The following is a 21,235-nucleotide window of genomic DNA, read 5'->3' as shown; positions in this document are numbered from 1 at the left end:
TTCACCATGTCAAGGGAAAGAGGAAAGATTTCCATAAGTGTAATCTTGTATTCTGGATGGTACATGAAAACTCTACTTCCTAACTGCCCACAGGGATTTAAGGGGTATTTTAAGGGGTACTTACAAATAAAAGGAAGAAGATACATTACATCACATTCTCATTACCAAGGAGAAACTCATCCTCTCTAGGAAAGGTTTCTCTCCTGTCTTACGTGTGACTTTCCACCTGCTAAGTCCCCTTGAAGTTACTGAGCAAAGACACTCTTACAACACTAAGCCATTGGTGCTAGAAGTGGAAGTAGACGGAGCCCCTGAGGTTCAGGTGCCAGGTCCTTGTATCTCTGATGGCGTGGGAAACAAAAGTCAGCAGCCATTTCTCTTCACTAGAGACTCAGAGGAGGTAAAAAGGGGGGATTCACGAAGTCATCTTGATTTTTCCGTATCTTATGGCGAAGTCTTGTGGTAGACCCCAGAACCCTGATGGTTGGTCTCACGCTCGTAAGTTTACATAAGGCTTTCTCAAGAAACTGACATCCAGAGCGCTTGCCTTAGAGAAGACAGCTGACCATGGTCATGACACTGGCAGGTGTTAGGACTGGCTGGTCTACTCTGGTATGGCAGAAACCCTGGGCCCCTGAATAAGGGAGGTGATTATGCTTTAAAGTCTAGGCTTACCATGTGTAGGGCTGTGGGACTCACTGTCAGGGTTGTGTAAGGCGAGGGCCATCGCTTGCAGAAGTCTGAGTGTGTGAGCACCCCCTTAAATATTGCCCCCAGGTGCTGTACTTGCTTAACCCCGGACCCAGCCCTGGCAGGGAGCAACAGCAGGAGGGAAAACCATTGGTAATTTAGGTCTTCACATCTTATGCTTCATTTAATGTGGTTGATAAAGAGCCTCCTTGTAAAAATATCTTGGTGTAGACTCCCAGGGAAGGAAACACTTGTGTGACTGACAAGCTGGCAGTGCCCATGGCCACGTGTGTCACCCTGGTGGAGGATAATCGTCCTATTATTTTTTGTCAGTAGGTATAACAAGTGGGTAGTGCTTTGTGTATTCCACTGTGATGAATTAATTTTGTGTTCATTGTAGTAGCACTGATCATAATGAATTAATTTGGTATTCATGTGGATGTCAGAGGTTTTTTTTTCCCCTTCCAATTTCATGTAGCTTTAGTTAATGGATACTTTAAAGTACAGTACATCTGATCTGATTTCTGTTCTCTCATTCACTTCTCATAATTTTCCCCCCGCTGGATATTGTGAGGTCTTCTGTTTTTAAAACATTTAACTTGATCTTTAAATAATTAATGTTTTAATAGCTTTACATGAACTCAAACATTCCTCCTGCTTTTAATTTATAAAATAAGGAAAATAAGGTAAATAGTTATAACAAATATAACTGCTAGGTTGAATGATATACTTAATAACTTGTATATTTTAGTTTGGTTTAAAAAGATCTGAACTAATCATTTGTAATTTGTAGCCTTATTGAAGACAAATATTGTATCCCCTTATGCAAATATGAAATAATGAAAACTGCATGCCGTATATAATAGTTTGCTCTTCTTTTAATTTCTTCTCTCTTTCCCTCATAGACAAGATTGATAAATGTATGTGCATATATTATTTATCTGTTCATATAAGGACATGTAATTGACTATTAGATATGGTAATTGCATAAATATATCTTATTCAAGCTCATTTCCTTTTCTGTTTATAAAATAAATGTTTTTGTTAAATTGGAATATGTACTGAAATAGAAGTGCCTAATTTAGGATTCAGAAACTAGGTACACAAACAAAAATCAAACAAAATTCTGGGAACCTTTGACAAACTTGTTCTTTAACCTATATGTGTTTAAAAAATTTGTTCATCATGTTTGCTGATTATTGAAGATATTTATAATAGAATAAGGGTTTCCTTCATCACTAACACACCTGCTCGGCTGATTTGCTCCCAGTGGAAATATGGTTGAACCTTTAGAAAGAACGATGTTTTTTTGCCTTACGAGTATCAGGATGCCATTTTTGGTCTTTCTTTAAATTTAAACTTGGAAATGGTATCCTCCATATATTCTCTTGTGGCTTTAAACTTTTTTTTTTTTTTTTTTTGTAATTTTACAGCTCTTGTTCAGTTTGATTCTCAGCAGCAGCTGTATTCCATTGTAGACTGCTGTGTTTCAGCAATTGATGGATCCTGTATATATTCTACTATTTAGAGTATATAAAGAAGTTGGGACTCTTGCAAGTGGCAAGGACTATATAACTGGGTTACTATGGCTTTCATTATTTTTGTTATTATTGTGACAGATTGTACAGTAATATGCTAACAAAGATTTATGGCATCATGCAGCAGTAGGAAATGTTGGGATGGAGGAGAAAACTCATGTTAAAACAAATGTCTATAATAATAAGAGGAAAACAAAACTTCAAAAAAGCTGAGAATTGTTTCTAGTATAAATATTTTTATTAACATTTGTTATGGTTGAAGATCTTGAGAGGAACTGTTCATGCATTTCTGCAGTTTAGATTATGCTGTATGCCTATTTGTGCATCATCGTTCTTAGGAGATTGTTCTTTCTTCTGGTTTTTTTTTTTTTTAGTTTTTTTGTTTTACTGGAACACATAGGTATTGAATATGCAATGAACAGAAAATTTATGGAGGGCAGAGTTATGAGTATCTGAGGAAAGTTTAATTACTTTTATAATTTAGATAAGCTTCATAATTTATTGTAACACGCTGTACTTTGGCACAATTTGTAACAATTATAAAGCACTTGAATTTAGGTTCTTTACTTGGCAGCTATCAACAGAGTTAGCTGTATGAAAACTTTAAGCATTTACTTTCCTTCCTCCGCCTTGCATTACAGGCTTACGCTGTAGTAGTTTTGTTGCTCCCACTTTCATTTGCCACATCTCTGGGTTTTATGTATCACAGTATAGTAGGCTTGTGGCTATACACTAGGAAGCAGACGAAGAGAGAACCTGAAGATACCTCCTGATGCCCAAACCTAGGAAAGGGAAAAATGCAGAAGAACTCAGACGACTCTTGGAAATGATTCTTGCCTCAATTAAAAAGACCTCACCACTCACCTCCATGTAAAGGACAGGTCGTGAATTATTCAAATGATTCAGAAATCAACATTTAAAAAAATGAACATAAATTCCTTTTCATAATTAAAGAGCGGTGGAAAATGGCTCTTTTCTTAGGTCTAGATTATATTGCTGTTAAAGGAATTGCTGCCTAGTATACAATTTTTTGACATTGTTTTCTACAACATCAATCTTATTTGTTGTCCTTTTTTGTCACGCCTGTTAAATGTGTATTTTTCTGTGTTGATATTGAAACTAATGTACAAAGTGTGACATCTCCAAAAACTGATTTGGTTGTTCCTAAAAACATTGGTCCTTAAAAGTATATTTATTTGCAGCCCAGGAATTTTTAGCTTCACATTTTTCTTTTAATAACTAAACTGTAGAACAGAATTAGCTCTCATAAAACCTTGTACTTGCTGAACAACTCTCATAATTAAATGAATATAATGATTTTATGTGACACTTTGAACTTCTAAAGTTCTTTCACATCTATGTATGTTTAGGACAAGATTTAAAAGTTAAATTATTCTACAGTTGGAGTAGAAATAAGTGGCCAAGTATCCAACTTTTGTATCTCAAATACCTTCTTTTTTTTTTTTTTTCCCAAATACCTTCTTATATTCTCCACCGACTTTTTGGGCTGGCTAAGTGTGACAGAAATGGGAACTTTAGTTCTGGCTTTTGATTCTCTCATGTTAATGTAGGTTTTTGATAAGTCACTTGGTGCAAAACACTGAAACAACTTATCTATTGGCTTAAATGAGTCAACAGTCTGAATCAAACAGGTTGTGAATTGGTTAAAATAATAAACCAGTAACCCTGTGGTTGAGCTCTTGATGATTAAAGAACCAGACCTAAGAATGCATTTATAGTCTTTTAAAAGAGAGTAAAGACTCCCACTTCTTTGAGCTGTGTTTCTTTGTGTAGATTTCTTTTTTTTTTTTTTTAAAGAAAGGCTTCATTATCTGTTTCAGATCTTTATAGATGTTGCAATAAGGTACTCCTTTCTATTAGTATAGGATTGAAAGGATCAAAGTTAATAACTTGAACTGAGATGCTTTAAAATAACAAAATAGTTTATTATCTCTTTCCTTTTCAAGATTTATGTTCTTACAAGGGTACAATGTTCATGATTGAATGTGGTCCTACTGGTAAGGCTTCCATGTAATAGAAGAGTAATTCCCTTGTCTAGCATTCTCTGGGTTGTTTTAATGTTGCAGGTGAATGTGTTCTGCTGTGCAAATAAATGTAGTTCTCTTATTCACATTCCTGATGACTTGCATCCTTAAACCCTTTTGGTCAGGGTATTATTGTCCTTTATCCTGAAAAATGTCTGTGATTGTAGTGCCCTAATACTATAAATCAATGGGGACTGAATTCAGCGCCTGCTAAGTAGAGTGAGGCAACCCTTTAAATGCAAATGCATCAGGGCTAGTTTTAATGTAATTTTAATAAGGCTGAAACCATTTTGAAGTAGACTTAAATCATAATACTAATCTTAAAAGACTCTCTATTTAGCTGAGAAGTCCCTTTATTCTCACTGGCCATTTTTCCTCTGTGTGCATCCAAACCACCTTTCATGTGATTCCACAGTTTTTCATTTCTTTTTTTTTTTTTCTCAAATAGAATATATGTACAGTTTGTGGTTACTTTATTAGTTGGAGAAGAGCTTGTATTGACTAAAATTGCTTCACTTCTTTTTCTTCCTGGTTGTACATGCCTGACTAATCTGTGTGTGTGTGTGTGTGTGTGTGTCCATAATATTTCAATCACATTGCTGTGTTTTGGTCAGAGAAGTAAAAATCTAGCTGTCAATGCCAACTGGAGTAGTTATTTAAGAATATAATATTTAAGTAGGGGAGTATATGCAAAGTAATATAAAAATGAGGAAAACATTTACAAAATCAAATGTGACCTCAAGTCCAATATTTTTCAATCTTCTAAGTCTGTTGGTTTCACCACCTCACATTATTTCAATGTATGTGAAATATATCTTGCTGTTTATATTTGGGTTGATGGGACAGGTGCAGGATCTTTGACCTGGGGAAATAAATTGGATTAAGGACTAGCTTAACTAGTCTACAGAAACTGTAGACTACAAAAACTGAAGGCAAGAACCTACTGTCACATCTTTTGCAGAGAGACAAAGGCATTTTGGTATTTGGATATTTTACTTGGGATATGTATTTTGTGTATTTGTGTAATTTTGTATTAATTTACACAAACTTAAGTAAACAATATATTAATAAGATTCATCAAGTAATTTATAAATTAACTTTCCCACATTTTTCTGTGTTCAAGAATTATCAAGGAGATGTGTAAATATTGAAGCCTATACTATATTCCATTATTTGCTTTTAATGTATTTCATATAATTCAGAAAACAGTAATTTATCATTTACATTACTTCCCTTTTCCTATTGAGCCTTCTGAAAGAATAATGTAGACCAGCATTTTAAAAAAAAGCTTGTTTCAAGACATGTTAATAGAAATTTTATTTTCAGTCCATTCTGCATTAAATATTGTAAAACACCCCTAGAGAGTGATATTATTTGTAATGATTCCCAAATTGCTTTGACCAGAGAACTCCTTTTTTCATGAAATACCTCCCATGTGGAACATTCTGCAGAAGAGTTTTGTGAAATGCTAACTCAGCCCAAAAGGTTTTTTAAATTAAGGCCTTTCAAGTTGGTAATGGTATTTAGTTTCTTGTTTTTTAAAATAGACTTTGTTTAGGACAGTTTTCTAGGGTCACTGTGCCACTCATGCTGACTGTCCTGTCGTCTTGAAAAATACTACTGGTAACATGTGAACAGATATGGAGGTCCTCTACCCGAGTATTTTAATACCAAATAATAGCTATATCTTCTCAGATATTGGTAGCTATGTCAATGGAGATGTGAAATTGGCTCTATCGATGGCTTTTGTCCATTCTCCAAGAGAGGCCTGTCTTTGTGGGTGGAGGTGTTGGTGGATATGTGTATGTGTCTCCTTCTCTTACCCTCTTAACAGTTTGGTCACAGTGGTGACCAGTGAGTATAGAGCAGAGCCTTGACAATGCACCTGACTTTGGGCTTTAGCCAGATAGTATGAATGAGTGAAGCAGATGTTAAGGAGAGGTGAGTTTAGGGCAACTGGGGCATTCGTGCCCCCTCATTCATTCAGTTAACATTTCCAAGAATCCTGTGCAGGGCAAATAAGATCTATCTCAGGACCAGCAATATCTCATCCTTGGTATGAAGATAAGAAGTCAGGAGACTTGAGCTGTAGGTTTGGTTGTCTCCTTGCCTGGCAGGCTTGCCTAATTTACAGCAAGTAGAAAATAATCTGTGTCTTGTTCAAATCTAAATAACAATGCTTTAAAGGTAGTGTAGAATATTTGTTAAAAAGAACATATTAATTATGTTTTTAGAAGCTTCTGTAAGGAAGAAAGAAGTTTGACCCCCCAACTTTTCTCTTTTCTAGAACTGCAAATTACTGCTATTTTAAATAGACTTTGTTGTTTAACTGTACATCCAGGAAAATCTAGGAAATTAAAGAAGCATGCATATAAATGATTGTGTAGCAGAACATGAACATTAAATTCATACAGTGAAGAAATTAAAGTTAGAAATACTCTCAAACATAAGAAGGTTCTAGAATCAATCCTTTAAGCACAGTCTGAGACATGGTATATCTTTGCACTTACTTGGACCTTGGTTTCTATTCCTGTGATGATTATTGGATTTGATGCCATCTGATGTCCTGTTCCTCAGATTCTATGAAGCTGAGTCTGAGATTAACTTAGGTCTGAGATTGACATAAAGGGGAACCGGTCCCTAGATTTCCTCAGGGCTGAGAAGTTATTGATTTCTCAAGTATAATAGGACTGCACAGACGCACAATTTGCACCAATCGGAACAAAATGTTTAACAAGTTCTGAGTATAGAAAACACTTTGCAATTTGAATTTCTATGATTCCAAAATTCAAAAAAGCTCCTTTTTGATTAAATGCACTGCCCTCAACCACACATGCTCATTTTCTCTGTCTACTGCTTTGTCATTCTGTTTATTTAACTTTACTTGGCATACCAGAGTTTTAACGCTGAGATTTTAAAGTACATATGCAAAATTGGAATGTGTCAGAGAACCTAGGAACAGATTCATCAAAGGAGTCATGAGGCACATTGCACATGCTTTAACATCAAGGTGTAAACGGAGCCCATTAAACTATTAGTTAAGTGGTGATCAGGAGCAAGAGCCTGATTAGATTACAAAATCTTCTGTGTGTGAGCGCGGTATGTGAAAACATAACACTTGATCCTCACCATAGTGCCAGGAAGATTCAATTAGAGAACTGGTATGTGCCCAGATTTGGGGACATAAAGGGCAACTGGATTTTGAAGGAAAGATGGTAAGGAAACACCTGCAAAAATCTGCTTCTCTGTGCAACAGACTGGGTAATTGCATATGCAGATGGATAGTTAGGGATATAATTGCTTGATTTGTGAACATAAATGCCCTTTCGATTGTGTCAGTGTTGAATTTTGCAGTGACAGGTGCCTGCGGATTGCTGTGTGTGTATCCTTTGCACCCCTGTTTAAATATTTGGCCTGGAGTATGTCTTCCATTCATTGTGAATGGAACCACCGCCGTCCCGCCCCCATGATGGTCTGGGGGTATTGTTATAGCTCTTAATGTCTCTCCAACTTTTTCTCATAAATAATAACCTTAATTTGAAACCTTAACTAAAAGAAGGACTGCATAGAGGCATGTGGTGAAGGGCTTACGAATTATGCACAGAATTCATTTTTTAAAGCTGCTGGATGTAACTCATTAGTTTTCATTGTTTTCTCAAAATAAGGAAAACTATTAACCAACACTGCAGACTAATAGCCTGGATTTTTTTTCCCCCATAATCAACTGAAGTTTAATGGAAAATCATCTTTTGAAAGACTTCCTTTTTTCTCCTTGCTTTTTCTTAACCTTTCCATTAATACTGTTCCAATATCTTCTCTAATCTCTCTCAACTAAATAGCATTCTCAGTCATTCCTTTTCTATGTCAACATTTCTATACCGCACTGAAGATGTTTGTAAAAATACTGGTGCAGTCCAAATGGGATTTATTTTTAAATTGAAGAATTTGTTAAGCACTTACTTATGTGGAATGGTCAGGTCATCTCCGTATTCCTTTCTCTGGCCTTATGGAGAAAGTGGAGGAAATGGTGTCTGCCTTTAATGAGGTTGCTAACGTGCCTGAACTACACAATAAGTTATTAAGTCATATTTTATGTGATTATTCAGTTTCTTTTTTTTTTTGCTCCATTCTAAATCAAACTATCTAAATTATTTTTGTCAAATAAAGGTTAATTTCAGCAGTTGTTGATAATAAACACTTGCATGTACTATTCATATCAACGTGTATGATACTCTGCTAAGTATAGTACATCAGTAATCTCATTTAATCTGTCAAACAGTATATATTATTCCCATTTCACAGATGAGCAAACTGAGCTATAAGATTAAGTATATTACTCCTGCCATATAGTTAATAAATAGAAAGGGATTGGAGTTCAGAAATATGTGCCTCTCTAGCCCACGTTTGTTGCTGTTTTGGCATCTAATTTGCAAATATAAATAAATATATCTAAATAAATAAAAAATATCTTGAATCTGCCTTTTTAAAGGAGCCTGCCAAAGAGAGGCAAAATAACCGCAGAAATCCCATTTTGACTGGCTTTGATATGAAGACTTCACACAACTCTTATTTTAATTTCTTGGTATTTCCTTATGCTTTGCTGCTCTTCTGAGGCACATTTTCTCAGTAAGATATTCTTTATGCTTTTTAACTAAAAATGTGGGGATTAAATTTTACCCACAAAAAGGTTTGAAACCGTTCTTTCTAATTCTTCATGTGTCATTAAAAAAGTATCCGCATGTATTTTGGTGCGTGTGGAGAAGGAGCTGGCACTGTGTGCTCAAATAATGCTCAGAACCACCTGCTTTGAATGTGGTCTGATTGAATCAAATGACGACTGCTTTTCATCACCGAGCCGGGATTGGGATGTGGGGGAAGTGTTTTGTTTTGATATTTCACATGTGCTTAGGTGTTCGTGGTTTCAGGTTGTTTAAGAACAGACTCTCATTGAGTGTTGGTGAGTCCTGTGGGGGAGATTTGAAAGCAACGTTGAGGATTTCTAGGTCTGTTTCAAAATTACATCCTCTTGTGTGGTGCATTTATTTGTGTTCAGGATGCAGATTGCCTTGTGGAAAATGGCAAATCATTTTCCCTCATAAAAGGTTTCTTTTGTTTTTTTGTTTGTTTGGTCTTCAGCTATTTTTTTTGGTAGTTTCCCCTCCTGAGTTCAGATTATCAGTACTTTCATCATTTATACCACTCGGTTCTCTGGAGTTCTTGGTGCACTGTGGGTCCACTTTTCTTGTTTGGGGTGATGACTAACATCTGCCCTGATACTCGCCTGGTACTTGAGGCTCTGAACTTTATTATCTTCTCTTCAACTGCAGCTCGTGGCACTTGTAGGCAACGTGCCTCCCAAAGAGCCTGAAAGAGATTACAGCTCACTTCCTGCCATCAGACAGTATGTGGGGAGGTCAAGGGGTGGGCAGAGGAGAGGCTTGGTGAAATTCAGACTTTTGGGCCCCATCTAGAAGAATCTGCTTCAGTATCTCTTGGAGCTACCCAGGAATATGTATTTTCAACAGTGCTCCAGATCTGAGGGACAGTTGGAATTAGGAAAACTGTGGCTCTAACTGATGCCCCAGTACTTCTCAAAGTGGGTGCCCCCACATCCTGATATGCTGGATGTGTTTTGTAACTGCAGATTCCTGGGCTCCACTGGGAGTGGTGGCCCTGGACCAGCCTCTGTCATGTGTCCCCAACCACACTCTTGGGATTCGTATTTGTATGAACTTTAGAGAATGAACTGCCACAGAGATTCTAGGTGACAGGAAATTGTGGGGTAAATTGGAGGATTACAGATCATGCTTCTAATATCAGCACAGGTACACACAATCGTCAAAATAGGGGACAGGTGTGTTTGGAAAGCTTGTTTTGTAAAGAAAGTCTTTTCTCCCTTTGACTTCTCTTCTTTACGTGGAAGCTACACTTCTGAATTACAAAGAGACAGAGAAAAAAGAGAACAATAACAACAAAAGGTTCCTGAGGCATACCTAAGCTGCAGGAGCCAAGGGAGTGTCCCTTGTTTTACTTGGTGATGGCTGTTTGAACAGCCGTTTGCTTTCTCCTTCCTGTCCTCTGATGTGAGGATGCAGGATTGGAATCATTAGAAACCCTAGGTTAGTAGCATCAGGCTCCCTGCCCTGTGTAGTCTCTGGGAGGACAGAGCTGCAGCTTAAGTTGTGCTTTTGTCTTGGCAAGCACCTTTCAATTTTTATCCTAGCTCAGTTGCTTTGTTTGGCATTTTACTGGCCAATACTCCTTTTTTTTTCCCTCTCTTCTCCATCTCCTAATTCTCAACCTCTTCTGGGGCCAAAAACTTGGAGGAAAGACTTTAAAAAAACCAATTTCACTCCTGTTTATGTAATCGTTTCTATATTACAGAAGGCTATGGTATGTTTTAAAATGTATACATCTCTTTGCTTTTCTCCCTTGTGACTGAATTTTTGAAAAATGCTTGAAATACGGACACCAAAACGGAATGTATGTGTGTCACATTTAAACGGAAAACCCTGTTTGTTTTGTATATTAGACTATAGCCAATGAAAACCCAGGGAGTAAGGATTTTCATGACCACAACTGAATATAGAACCTCATAGGTTTCTGTTATAAGTATAAATATTGAGAATAGTTTTGTTTGTTTATGCCAGTGCAGTTTTATAGCAAATCCTTTCAAATGGGGTGCAAAGCCATCCATGGATATTTGTAAAGGCTTTGCAAAATCATACATAAAATAAATTGTCCATTTGATTTGAACAAGTTTTGCAATTATTTGTGGCTTTAACAGGGGCTTTTGAAGGGCACTGTATATATCTACCAGCTGGTTCTACTTTTTTTTTTTTAAGAAAATGGAGAGCTTTGTATACAATCCCTTGGGTAAACCAGTAATAAACTATATATCAGGTAGTCAAGTCATGCCATTTCAAATCTGTTTTACATTTTAAAGGGGTAATAATTTGTGAATTTCATCTCATAGAAATTTTTATGCTTCAAATCAAGTTGTTATCCCATCCTTGTCTATTTTTTTTTTATCGATCCCCTCACTCAGTGTTTTAGAGAAATAAAGCATACAATGGAATCTCTTGCTGGGAAAAAATACTTTCTTACTTATTATATTGTATCTTGTAATAATATATTTCTATCACCATTTAAAAAACATTCTTTTAGTTATTGATGATTATTTTGTCAAATTATATGAATTTGGTTCTGTTTTCTTTTTGTGACAAAGATTCTGAATTTTCATGTTTAATAAATGCACTTCTTCACATGACAAATGTTCATTGAGCCCTTAGCCAGGCATTGGTGTCAACCCTGGTTCATAGGTGCCCAGAGTTCCTGTCCTTCTGAAGCTTGCATCCTGGTGGGGATCAATAAACAAAGATACCAACCAACAAATATAAATATATGTATGTATGTAATTGATTGATTGATATCTGTGTGTGAGTGTTTCCTCAATGGCATTATGCATTTATTTATTCATTCTTCATGCATTTGTTGTGTGGGAAAGAATGTTTTCCAGGTTGAGGAAAGACACGAGACTCGACAGCCAGGGATATATTAGGTAACGGTGAGGAGTCTGGTGTGATTGAGGCACAGAAGGAAGTGCCAGTGTAAAGTAACATGAGAAGAAAGTACACACAGATCCTGAGCACCTTAAATGCTAGCCTAAGGAATTTTAAGTTTATACCCAAAGCAATAGGGAGCCACTGAAGATTTTTGTATGGAGAAGTGACAGTTGTCAGTGGCTCATAGTAGATTGGAGTGGGCACCTTTGCTGAAGTTAGGGAACCTGTTTTCAGGTCCTTATTATGAGACGTGCTAGTTAAAAGAGGAAAGGAGGGGAGGGGGTTGGCAAAGGCTGCAGTTAGTTACATTGAGTGAGGTCAAGTAAAATGTTTTGAAGCATTTCTATGGAGAAGTCCCAGATCTTCTTACCTTTCATGACTTTGTTAGACTCACTCTTCAGTGAAATAAGACTGGTCTTGATTTTTCCATGCGTCTTGAGTTAAAGCGTTACCCTTTGCTACCTGGGCTCTACGATTTCACCTGTTCTCTGGCCACACCTTGGAATTCACTTCTTTGTGCTCTCCAATATTTGATTTCCTTCTTGTCTTCTTTTCTTTGTTGTTGTTTTTTGTTTTTGATACAAGAGTCTCACTCTGTCACCCACGCTGGAGTGCAGTGGTGTGATGTTGGCTCATTGCAACCTTCGCCTCCCGGGTTCAAGCGATTTTCCTGCCTCAGCCTCCTGAGTGGCTGGGATTACAGGTGTGCGCCACCACGCCCGGCTAATTTTTGTATTTTTAGTAGAGATGGAATTTCACCATGTTGGCCAGGCAGGTCTCCAACTTCTGGCCCCAAGCCATCTGCCCACCTCAGCCTCCCAAAGTGCTGGGATTACAGGCAGCATGGCCACCATGCCCGGCTTTCCTTCTTGCCTTTTCTTAAGAGTCCTGCTTCAAGGAAACTTCCGTCTCCTTTTCAAAAACTATTTCAGTAACAATCCCTTGGTGTTTATTTACCATTTGTAGCTTAAACTTAAAACTTTTTCCCTGTATTAGTTATTTTTCAAATATACTTTTTGTCTCTTCAACTAAATTTTGAGCTCAGGATTCATAATTTATTTGAAGAGGTACAAACAGAAAGGTTCTGTCCCATATTTCTAAGTAGTAGGATTTATTTTTCCTTCTATTGAAATGAAAATATAAATGGCCTTTGAGGCTCCAGGAGAGCCCACAAAATTTTATTTAGTCCAAAATACCGTAAAACTTCAGTATTATTAATACTTAAAGATGGTTTGCCTCAAGCAAGAAATATGAAGCTCTGGGGAACACATTCTGTGTGTGTGACACATCCAGACAGTGTGGTTTGCCAAATGGTAGCTGATCCAGAGTGAGGTTCTTAACCTTCATCAAGTCAGGGACTGCTTTGAAAATCCAATGCAAGCTGTAGACTGTCTTCCCAGAAAAATGCGTATAGCTAAATACATGAGGAAAATTCTGCAGTCCTTAGTCTGTGTATGTAGCATGTGTGTAGGTATGATATTGGTAAATCCAAAAGAAAAAATGCTTTTTAGTTACCTTTTGTAGCCATTAACGTTACCTGTGCTAAGTGCTCATTAGGCATTTGCTGGCTGATTCTATTCATGTGAGGGCCACAGGGACCAGGAGAGGTGAGAGCAAAGATGCATGCACAGATCAGAGAAGGGTTAAATGGGGAATTATGCAGCATGTAACTTATACATTTCCTGAAAATGATGCTTCTGTGGACTTAGACAAAAATGAGTGGCCAGGAGAGGATTGCCGTTGGATAGATGAAGTCTAGATTTATCCAGAGTTGGTATTTCTTGTTAAAGAACCTCAGTGAGCAGTAAGTTCATAAACCTACTGGGGTGCTGGTGGAGGGGGAGATCTACTGTTTATTTTAGGATGTTTTCAGCTGCAACAAAAGAAAACCCTGACTCAAATGGACTTAAACATAGGGAAATGTCTTACATTACGTTACCTATTCCAAAATCTCTGGTGGTTTCCTTCCTCCGTGTACTGCCTTCATCCTAGGAATGATAAGGAAATTCCTGCTTTGGTTCTGGGCATCACATCCAAACAGAAAAATCATCAAAGAGGATAAGTGGTCGTCTACTGATGTGTCTCTTTCCTTGGAGTAGGGAGATATTTCCAAGAACCCAGTAGAGGCTGCACCTTTGTGTCTTAGTGCTCATTTTGAAACCAGTATCTGGCCTGGGGAAGGCAAGGGGTGTGATTGGCTGTAGGACTTGGGGGTTTCCCTCTGGAACTGGAAATGAGGTCACCTGTTCCTGATCCACTAGGAGGAGTGGTGGCTATGTGAACAAATAGCAATTATACCAAAAACTGCTGCACGTTCTACTAAGAAGGAAGAAGAGAAAAATAGATATTGGACCAACAGAACTAACAGTGTCATTGTATCTTCTGATAAACTCACATTCTGAATAAAAAAGGAAGTCATGTTTGTATTTTTAAAATTTATCTAAATCTGTTGTTATTTTCTCTACCACAACACATGGGGTACAGTCATATGCTTAAGTCCATGTGAGTGAGCTTTTATAATAGATGTTCTGTCCACACAAGGACTGGTTTCCAAGGCCCGCACTCAGTTTACTTATGGGCCCCACTGCCATGCACAATTAAGAAAAAGACGAGATTTTAGCAACTTGGACTGAACTATAGACTTTGCCTAAACTCATTATTTACAGCAGCACTTTTCTTCATAGGTGAATTGTTAATAGGTTTGATTACTTATTCTTGCCTTGGAGAATTTTCAGGTATGGCTTACAAAGTGATATGAATTGTCATCTCTCAAATGCATCTTTAATTTAAACATATTCTCTATGTTTCTGGGTAGAGGAAGAGGAAAAAAGTCTATGAAAATGAATTTAAAATGCTTCTCAGAGTCAGTATTAATTTAAACCGTTGCGGTTTTCTGTGGGGCATATTTAACCCAAAAGAAAAGCCCTTATAATTAGGAAATTGGGATTCTGAATAATTAATTTGAAAGAGGAAATATAACTTTTTCTACAGAGAACATCTTTCATCCAAATTTGGAGTTCCAGTTTCTGCAGATGTCACTTCTCTCTCATAACATAAGAAAATAGGTAAGAGGCAGTTTGGAAAGAGGTTGAAAGGAGAAATTATAGGTTCTCCTCCCAGCTTTTCCAATAACTTGCCTTGAGGACTTGGACCAAGCCCTGACTTTCTCTGATGTATAAAGTTGTAAAGGAAGATGAAATACTGTGCACGAAAGTGCTTTGAAAAATTGAAAGCAGTAAACTGCTCTAGGATATTTATTGTTAGTGTGGTGGTTCTGGTTATTATAAATGAAGCAGAACTTTAAATATTAATGGTACTCTTGTTCATCAATGGGGAAGTTATAGGGGAAAGGTTTTCCAAAAAATGCTGAGCTATAACTGCCATCCAAGTAAGTGACGCAGAATGCCTAACCCAATTTGTATCTTGCTATCACCTGATCACAGAAAGCTGTTTCACTGTAGAGGTAACAGTTGTTTTCTCCTCTGTCCTGAGGCCAATGATTATATAATATGTATCAAATCACTAGGGTGCATATCAAAGTGAGCATAAAGAGGCAAATATTTCCCTTTACAATGACCATATAAGAGATTATTTCTGTCAGGGGATAAGGCATACATGAAGTCTGACTGTTTCACTGCATTTTTACTATAGAAATCACTGAGCTTGAGACTTGTACATTAACTCCATCTGGTCATGTGACTGGCAAGTGAAGTGTTTCAATGTGTTAAGAGGACTGATCTGCATATTTCTTGCTGAATCTTAATCTGTACTTGCATATTTGTGAAACGAATGAGTATTTAAATTATGGAGAAAAGATGTATTGTGCCAAACTAACCTTTATAGCATACCTGTGGTTGTAGTTTCTCTAGCTAACAGTGGACAAGATGAAAACTCATTATACATTTTCATCATGTTAGGTATTCTTCTCAAAGTCACAGGAGCACTGCAGAATGGTTCGTAACTTTATGAATTCAGCTGGCATTTTGGATATATGGACGGCCCCTTTGAGGGGCTAAAGACACAGCCATCCATTTCACCAAGAGTCGCCGAGGGTGCCTTATTGCCCCTACCCCGTGCTGGGTACTGAGGGTGGGATAGAAGGCAAACCAGACACATCCCTTGTGTTTATGCAGCTTTTTCTTCAGTGGGCAAGACATTACTTGAGAATCCTAAAAATATAAAATTACGTCTATGACAAGTCCAATGAAGGAGAAGGACAAGACACTTGATTGAGGAGGACATTTATTGCTAGTCAGGGGGGACAAGGAAAGCTGACCCAAGGAAATGATGATTCAGCTGAGTTGATAGAGGAGTGAAATAGTCATAGTAGGAAAGTGGAGTGGTGGGAGTTGGGAGGAAAGTACTGTATTTGAAGAACCACGTGTTCAAGTTCTGCAGCAGAAGGGCCAATGAAGTACTTGAGTGTTGTCAAAGGCAATCAAGGTAACTGGAAGAGAGAACACGAGGGCGTGAGGGTATGTTATCAGGATGACCTTGATGTTCACAATTAAGAAAGTTGCTCTAATCCTGACATCAATAGGAAGACTGAAGTATCTGAAGGAGGGAGTTTGCATGTCTGTTCACAAAGACCTCTTAAGCAATACACTGTACACTATTAATATGCCAGTGGTTCTTGGGGCGCTGTCTCCAACCTGTGGTTGTCTCACTACTGTATACTCTACTCCTTCCCCAGTGTGTGCTATCTGTGTGATTTGTGTGGGATCACTACATCCCTGGTGGACTACTGTGACTGGACTAAAACAATCAAGGTAATCCTATCCCTCTCATCACGGTGATTAATTCGGGTCATCCAGGCCTAAGCAAATCCATGCATGGTATTTTTTGGCTTTAGGGATTGTTCCATGATGGTCCCAATCAGGACAAAGTTCAGCAGGAATTTTGCTCTTTTATAGACTGAACTTGCTGCCATTGAAAGTCAATGAGGAAGCAAGTAGATCTGGAATCCTATGACCATGAGAGAAGCCTGCTTTAGGGTGAAGTTGACATGGAAGTGTCAGAGGTGAGGGGTACAAAGAACCATTTTGTCCTTGCTAATATAGTAGATCCACTGTATCTCAGATTGCACCTGATACCTGTTGAAGTTTTCAGGCTTTTCTCACCCCTAGGCCCTTCTCCAATCCTGATGCTAGCTGTTGACAACAGTCATTATTAAATAAATATCAGAAACCTCATCTGAATTCAAGGAATCTCCCAGCTCTTTCTAAACCCATACTTGCTCATTGTAACTGTAGCTCAGGCCAAGATGGAATAGACTACCTTGGTGAGGACAGGTGTATGAAGAATCACTGATTTAAAGATTGTTCATAACGTATCGCAGTCATTAGGCATAAGTCTATTTCTTGAGACATTGTAAGGGATTATTCTTGGAAGGACATAGGTCCAAAATGTTGAATTGGACGTCTAGGAGTCAGGGTGGTAAAAATGAAGTATATATTGATTAAGTGGAGAGTTACATGAGTAGAGAAGCAAAATGAAGCCGAGTAGAAAATTAAAGGTTTTGGGAGGAGTACTGCCTGAATTTAGATGTTTTTAAAGTACAGCTTTCTGTCTTCATGGGAATATCTTTTCGATATACTGAGAAAAAGAAATCCAGGTGTTCTTCACTTTTGTAAGCATCCTGGTTTTTCGTGCAGGGAGCACAGACAACAGGATTTCTTGCCAATCAGTTACCATTGTGAGGCCTGATTTTTCATCTGTAAAATGAGGATAATACAGTCTACCTGAGTAATGGCTGTGAAAGTTAAATGAAGCAATTTGAGTACAAATACCTCACAATGAATGATTGTTTTCATTGATGTGGTGGTAAATGTTTAATAACCTCTTTTTCAAAGAATAAAAGCCGTTATTGGTCATTTTTGCCAATTTCCATGGTGTAAATACTTCCAACATTGTGCCAGTTCCGAGTTACCAGTGTGTTACAAAATTGAAATGGAGTTAGAGAAATACACATATAATGCCGGAGAGCTCACCAGGATGCCACTGCTTTCTTTCCTTCTTTCCAAATTACATACATCCCAGATTTTTTTTTTTTTTTTTTTTTTTTTTGAGATGGAGTCTTGCTCTGTTGCCCAGGTTGGAGTGCAGTGGCACAGTCTTGGCTCACTGCAGCCTCCGCCTTCCATGTTCAAGTGATTCTCCTGCCTCAGCCTCCCAAGTAGCTAGGATTACAGGTGCCTGCCACCACGCCCAGCAATTTTTTGTATTTTTAGTAGAGACAGAGTTTTACCATATTGCCTAGGCTGGTCTCAAACTCCTGGCCTCAAGTGATACACCCTCCTCAGCCTCCCGAAGTGTTGGGATTACAGGCGTGAGCCACTGCACCCGGCCCATAAGCCACCACGCCTGGCCTATGCCAGATTTTGTACAAAGTAAAATCAATCCTTGTCCCCCACCACTGTGATACTAGGGTTTGTTTGATTTTAGTGACATCTGTATTAGGGTTGACACAGAATTAATAACTGAATCAATAAAGAGACCGGGAACAGGGCCACGCCTTACACAAGGTGACATGAAAAATGTTGAGGTGTAGCAGTTTATTCCCTTAGGTTAATCATGAACCTTTCTGTTAGGCCCCTTTGAAATTTAGTATCACTCTGTCCTAAATCACCAGTACCTTGCAAGTGTTGATTCTAGCCCATATAACTCACCTTTCTCAAAAATTCTGCTATGTTTGTTTTAGTAACCAAATACTGTATTTTATTTTCGTAAGATTTTCTTCCCAATCTAGATTATATATTTCAGAGAGAAAGCGTCCTATTTTATGTACATTTTGTATCCTTTTGGTGTCAAATATCATGCTATGACCATAACAGTAAGTGTAATACACATAATATCCTCCCCCCGCCCCCCCGCTTTTTTTTTTTTTTTTTTTTGGAGTTCCTACTGTGTTCCAGGTTCCATGGTAACATTTTCCTTGTTATCTGTAATCATCACAACAGTACTGGAGGGTAAATACGGTCATTCCCATTTTACAGATGAGGATACATTCAATGTGAGATGTTAAAGATGTTCTTCAGAATTTCCCAGGTAGCAGGCAGCTCATGGTATTCAAAAGGTAATGGTTAAGAGAAAGAATGGATAATGAATATCTTGTGTCTATTTTCTTGAGACAGACGAGACTGAGCAGCCTGAGAACATTTGGTGCTCAGAGGGAGGAAATGCTAAGAGGGGAAAACAAGTCTGAAAGGGAAAGAAGGATAGTTCAAAGACCAGTTTCCCCTGCTTCAGAATTCTGACTGGTGCCAGCTCTAACTGCGTATGTTTGCTTTACTTGGAAGATAGAATCATAGTGCCAGAATTCACGGAAGTCTGTTTTGGAAGATGCATTAGTCAGGGTATGCTAATTGCTGGAACAAACAATCCCCAAACTTCAGTAGCTTAACACTGCAGAGGGTTATTACCCTCCGGTGTCACAGAGCAACGTGGGTGGGCTCTGGTCCTAGCCTGGCTTCTTCCATGGCTCAGGTCTGCTATCCCCTAGGACCTTGGAGTTCACTAGATATTGGCATCAGGCTGATCAAAGAGGAAAAGGAGAGTGGTGCATAGACGATTACATGGGAAATTTTAAGGGCCAGGTCTGGACAAGGCAAGTATTACTTCTGCTCACATTTTATTGGCCAAATCCTAGTCATATGATCCCATGACTGCAAAGGAAGATGGGGAATTTCAGATTCCTAGGTGGTCACGGGCAGAAAGAGATGGGGATTGGTGAAAACATAGCCTGGCTTTAGCCACAGAGGGTTACACCAGAGGCCTGCAAGTTTGGTGACCACTAGTTTTCAGAGGTATTGGGTATTTGATAAAATCCAGTGTCTTCCAGAGGTTGAGCATGAGCCACATATAAATAACTTTCCCAGTGACGGGCCATCAGCAGTCCAATGAAGACATTGGGTCTTCATGTCTTCATTGGACTGCTGATGGCCTGTCATTGGGGAAGTTATTTACCTTCTCTGAGGAGAAAATAATAACTTGCATTTCAGAGTGGTTTGGGACACTAAAGGAAATCAGAAGATGGAACTGATTTGTTAACTAGAAATGGACATAAGTATTGGTTACAGGTTTAAAATGAAACTTGCAATGTTTGAGGAAGAAAGGGAAAATGTTAATGCAAAAACAAAAAAGGTAAAGAAATGGTGGGAAGTAGATTATTGGCACTTTTTCTTTGGAAACCCATTGCCATATTTCATGTAATTAAACTTCATTCCTTTTAATGAAACAATTCTTCTAAATAATACAGAGATTTCCCACCAATATAATATTTAACATTTATAATTTTCACCTTAAAGTTTGAACATTTTTAATTTTAAAACTGTTTGTTGCAGTTTAAATCTCCTTATGCCACAGAACTGTGGACTTTCTCTGGTTGCAAAATTCTTTACAGTGTCTTGAATTGAAAAGGGCTTAAGTAAAAAAAGCTGGGGGAAGTGGGGGCCTTTTACAAACAAATTACAACTCATTTGGTACAATAAGGATAATTCATTTTGTCTTGTTTTGCATGGCTGTATATTGTTTTGAATTCATTCTGCATTTCGGAAGCTTGCAGTATTTCTTTTCTGTAGGTTTCTTACTTGTAACTGCAGATTTCGCGGTTTCTTTTGTGTACCACTTGCCTCCCAGAATTTGGCCCAACAGTTTTGAGTAGCTGAACAATTTATCGGGGACAGATCAGCTGAAATGTGGCTCAACTTGAGTAAAGCAGAAGGAATGACATAAGGTTAGGTGACTGATGTGTGAGTTTTTGAATTTGATTTGGTTTTACATGGAAAGGTTGAAGCAATGATCCATGTATTCTAATAAAAATCATCAGTACAAATCAAATAAAATCTGGCTTAGTGGCTATTTTCCCACTGTATCACTCATGGCTAGCCTGTGCTGTTACAGACCACATTTGGCAGGCACGGCTTTTTCCTACAACAAATCTTAAAGTAACATTGCAATCTTTGCTGTGTTAAAAAGGCATCTTTTCTAATCAAACTGTCTGCTAATCTCATCAGATAAATCATTATTCTCTACTGACAGCTCCGGCTTTCCCGGAACCCCTTCCCTGCTTCTTGTTTTCTCTCAAGATGTCTGGTTATCGTCATTCTTCAGGTCTTTGCCTCTATCTCCTTTCACACTAATGACATATCTTCCATTCCTGAGGAAGAGTTACAGCTTTTTACCATTCCACTTACTGAATTGGTAAGACCAGTACCTCAGAGCAGCTCATCTCTTTCTGACCGGTATTCCACTAGTTATCAGATGGGCAAAAGGCAGGATGCATCCAAGTTGCAGACCTACTAGAACCAAAAATGCCTATTCCCAGGAATTTGATGTGATTAAACCTAAGAAATCATCAGTTGATGCGTTCTCATCTCTTTCAGCTGGACTAGTAAAG

General features: G+C 38.0%; 1 protein-coding gene, 1 long non-coding RNA gene and 1 other non-coding gene across 36 annotated transcripts in view, besides 1 other annotated feature; 1 reads left to right on the top strand and 2 right to left on the bottom strand.

The window, feature by feature from the left end:
• TCF4 (transcription factor 4) overlaps positions 1-21,235 on the top strand; it is a 413,773-nt gene that overhangs the window by 136,950 nt on the left and 255,588 nt on the right. The gene's annotated exons all lie outside the window — the stretch shown is intronic.
• Positions 9,917-10,609: an enhancer, noted in NCBI's record as "OCT4-NANOG-H3K27ac-H3K4me1 hESC enhancer chr18:53155630-53156322 (GRCh37/hg19 assembly coordinates)". NCBI's record gives its function as "activates a minimal SCP1, AML or CMV promoter by ChIP-STARR-seq in primed H9 embryonic stem cells {active_cell/tissue: H9 hESC(primed)}" and the evidence as "EXISTENCE:reporter gene assay evidence [ECO:0000049][PMID:30033119]".
• The window catches only part of TCF4-AS1 (TCF4 antisense RNA 1), a 30,408-nt gene continuing 25,240 nt past the window's right edge, over positions 16,068-21,235 (bottom strand). Inside the window, exon 2 of the long non-coding RNA NR_132985.1 lies at positions 16,068-16,285. This is a non-coding gene — a long non-coding RNA (TCF4 antisense RNA 1). The remainder of the gene's footprint in view (positions 16,286-21,235) is intronic.
• On the bottom strand, positions 19,710-19,787 carry MIR4529 (microRNA 4529). Its single transcript, NR_039754.1, has one exon. It is a non-coding gene; the product is annotated as a microRNA 4529 (primary transcript).

Source organism: Homo sapiens, chromosome 18, assembly GCF_000001405.40.
Source record: "Homo sapiens chromosome 18, GRCh38.p14 Primary Assembly".
NCBI lineage: Eukaryota > Metazoa > Chordata > Mammalia > Primates > Hominidae > Homo > Homo sapiens.
This window is presented reverse-complemented; position numbering and strand designations above follow the sequence as displayed.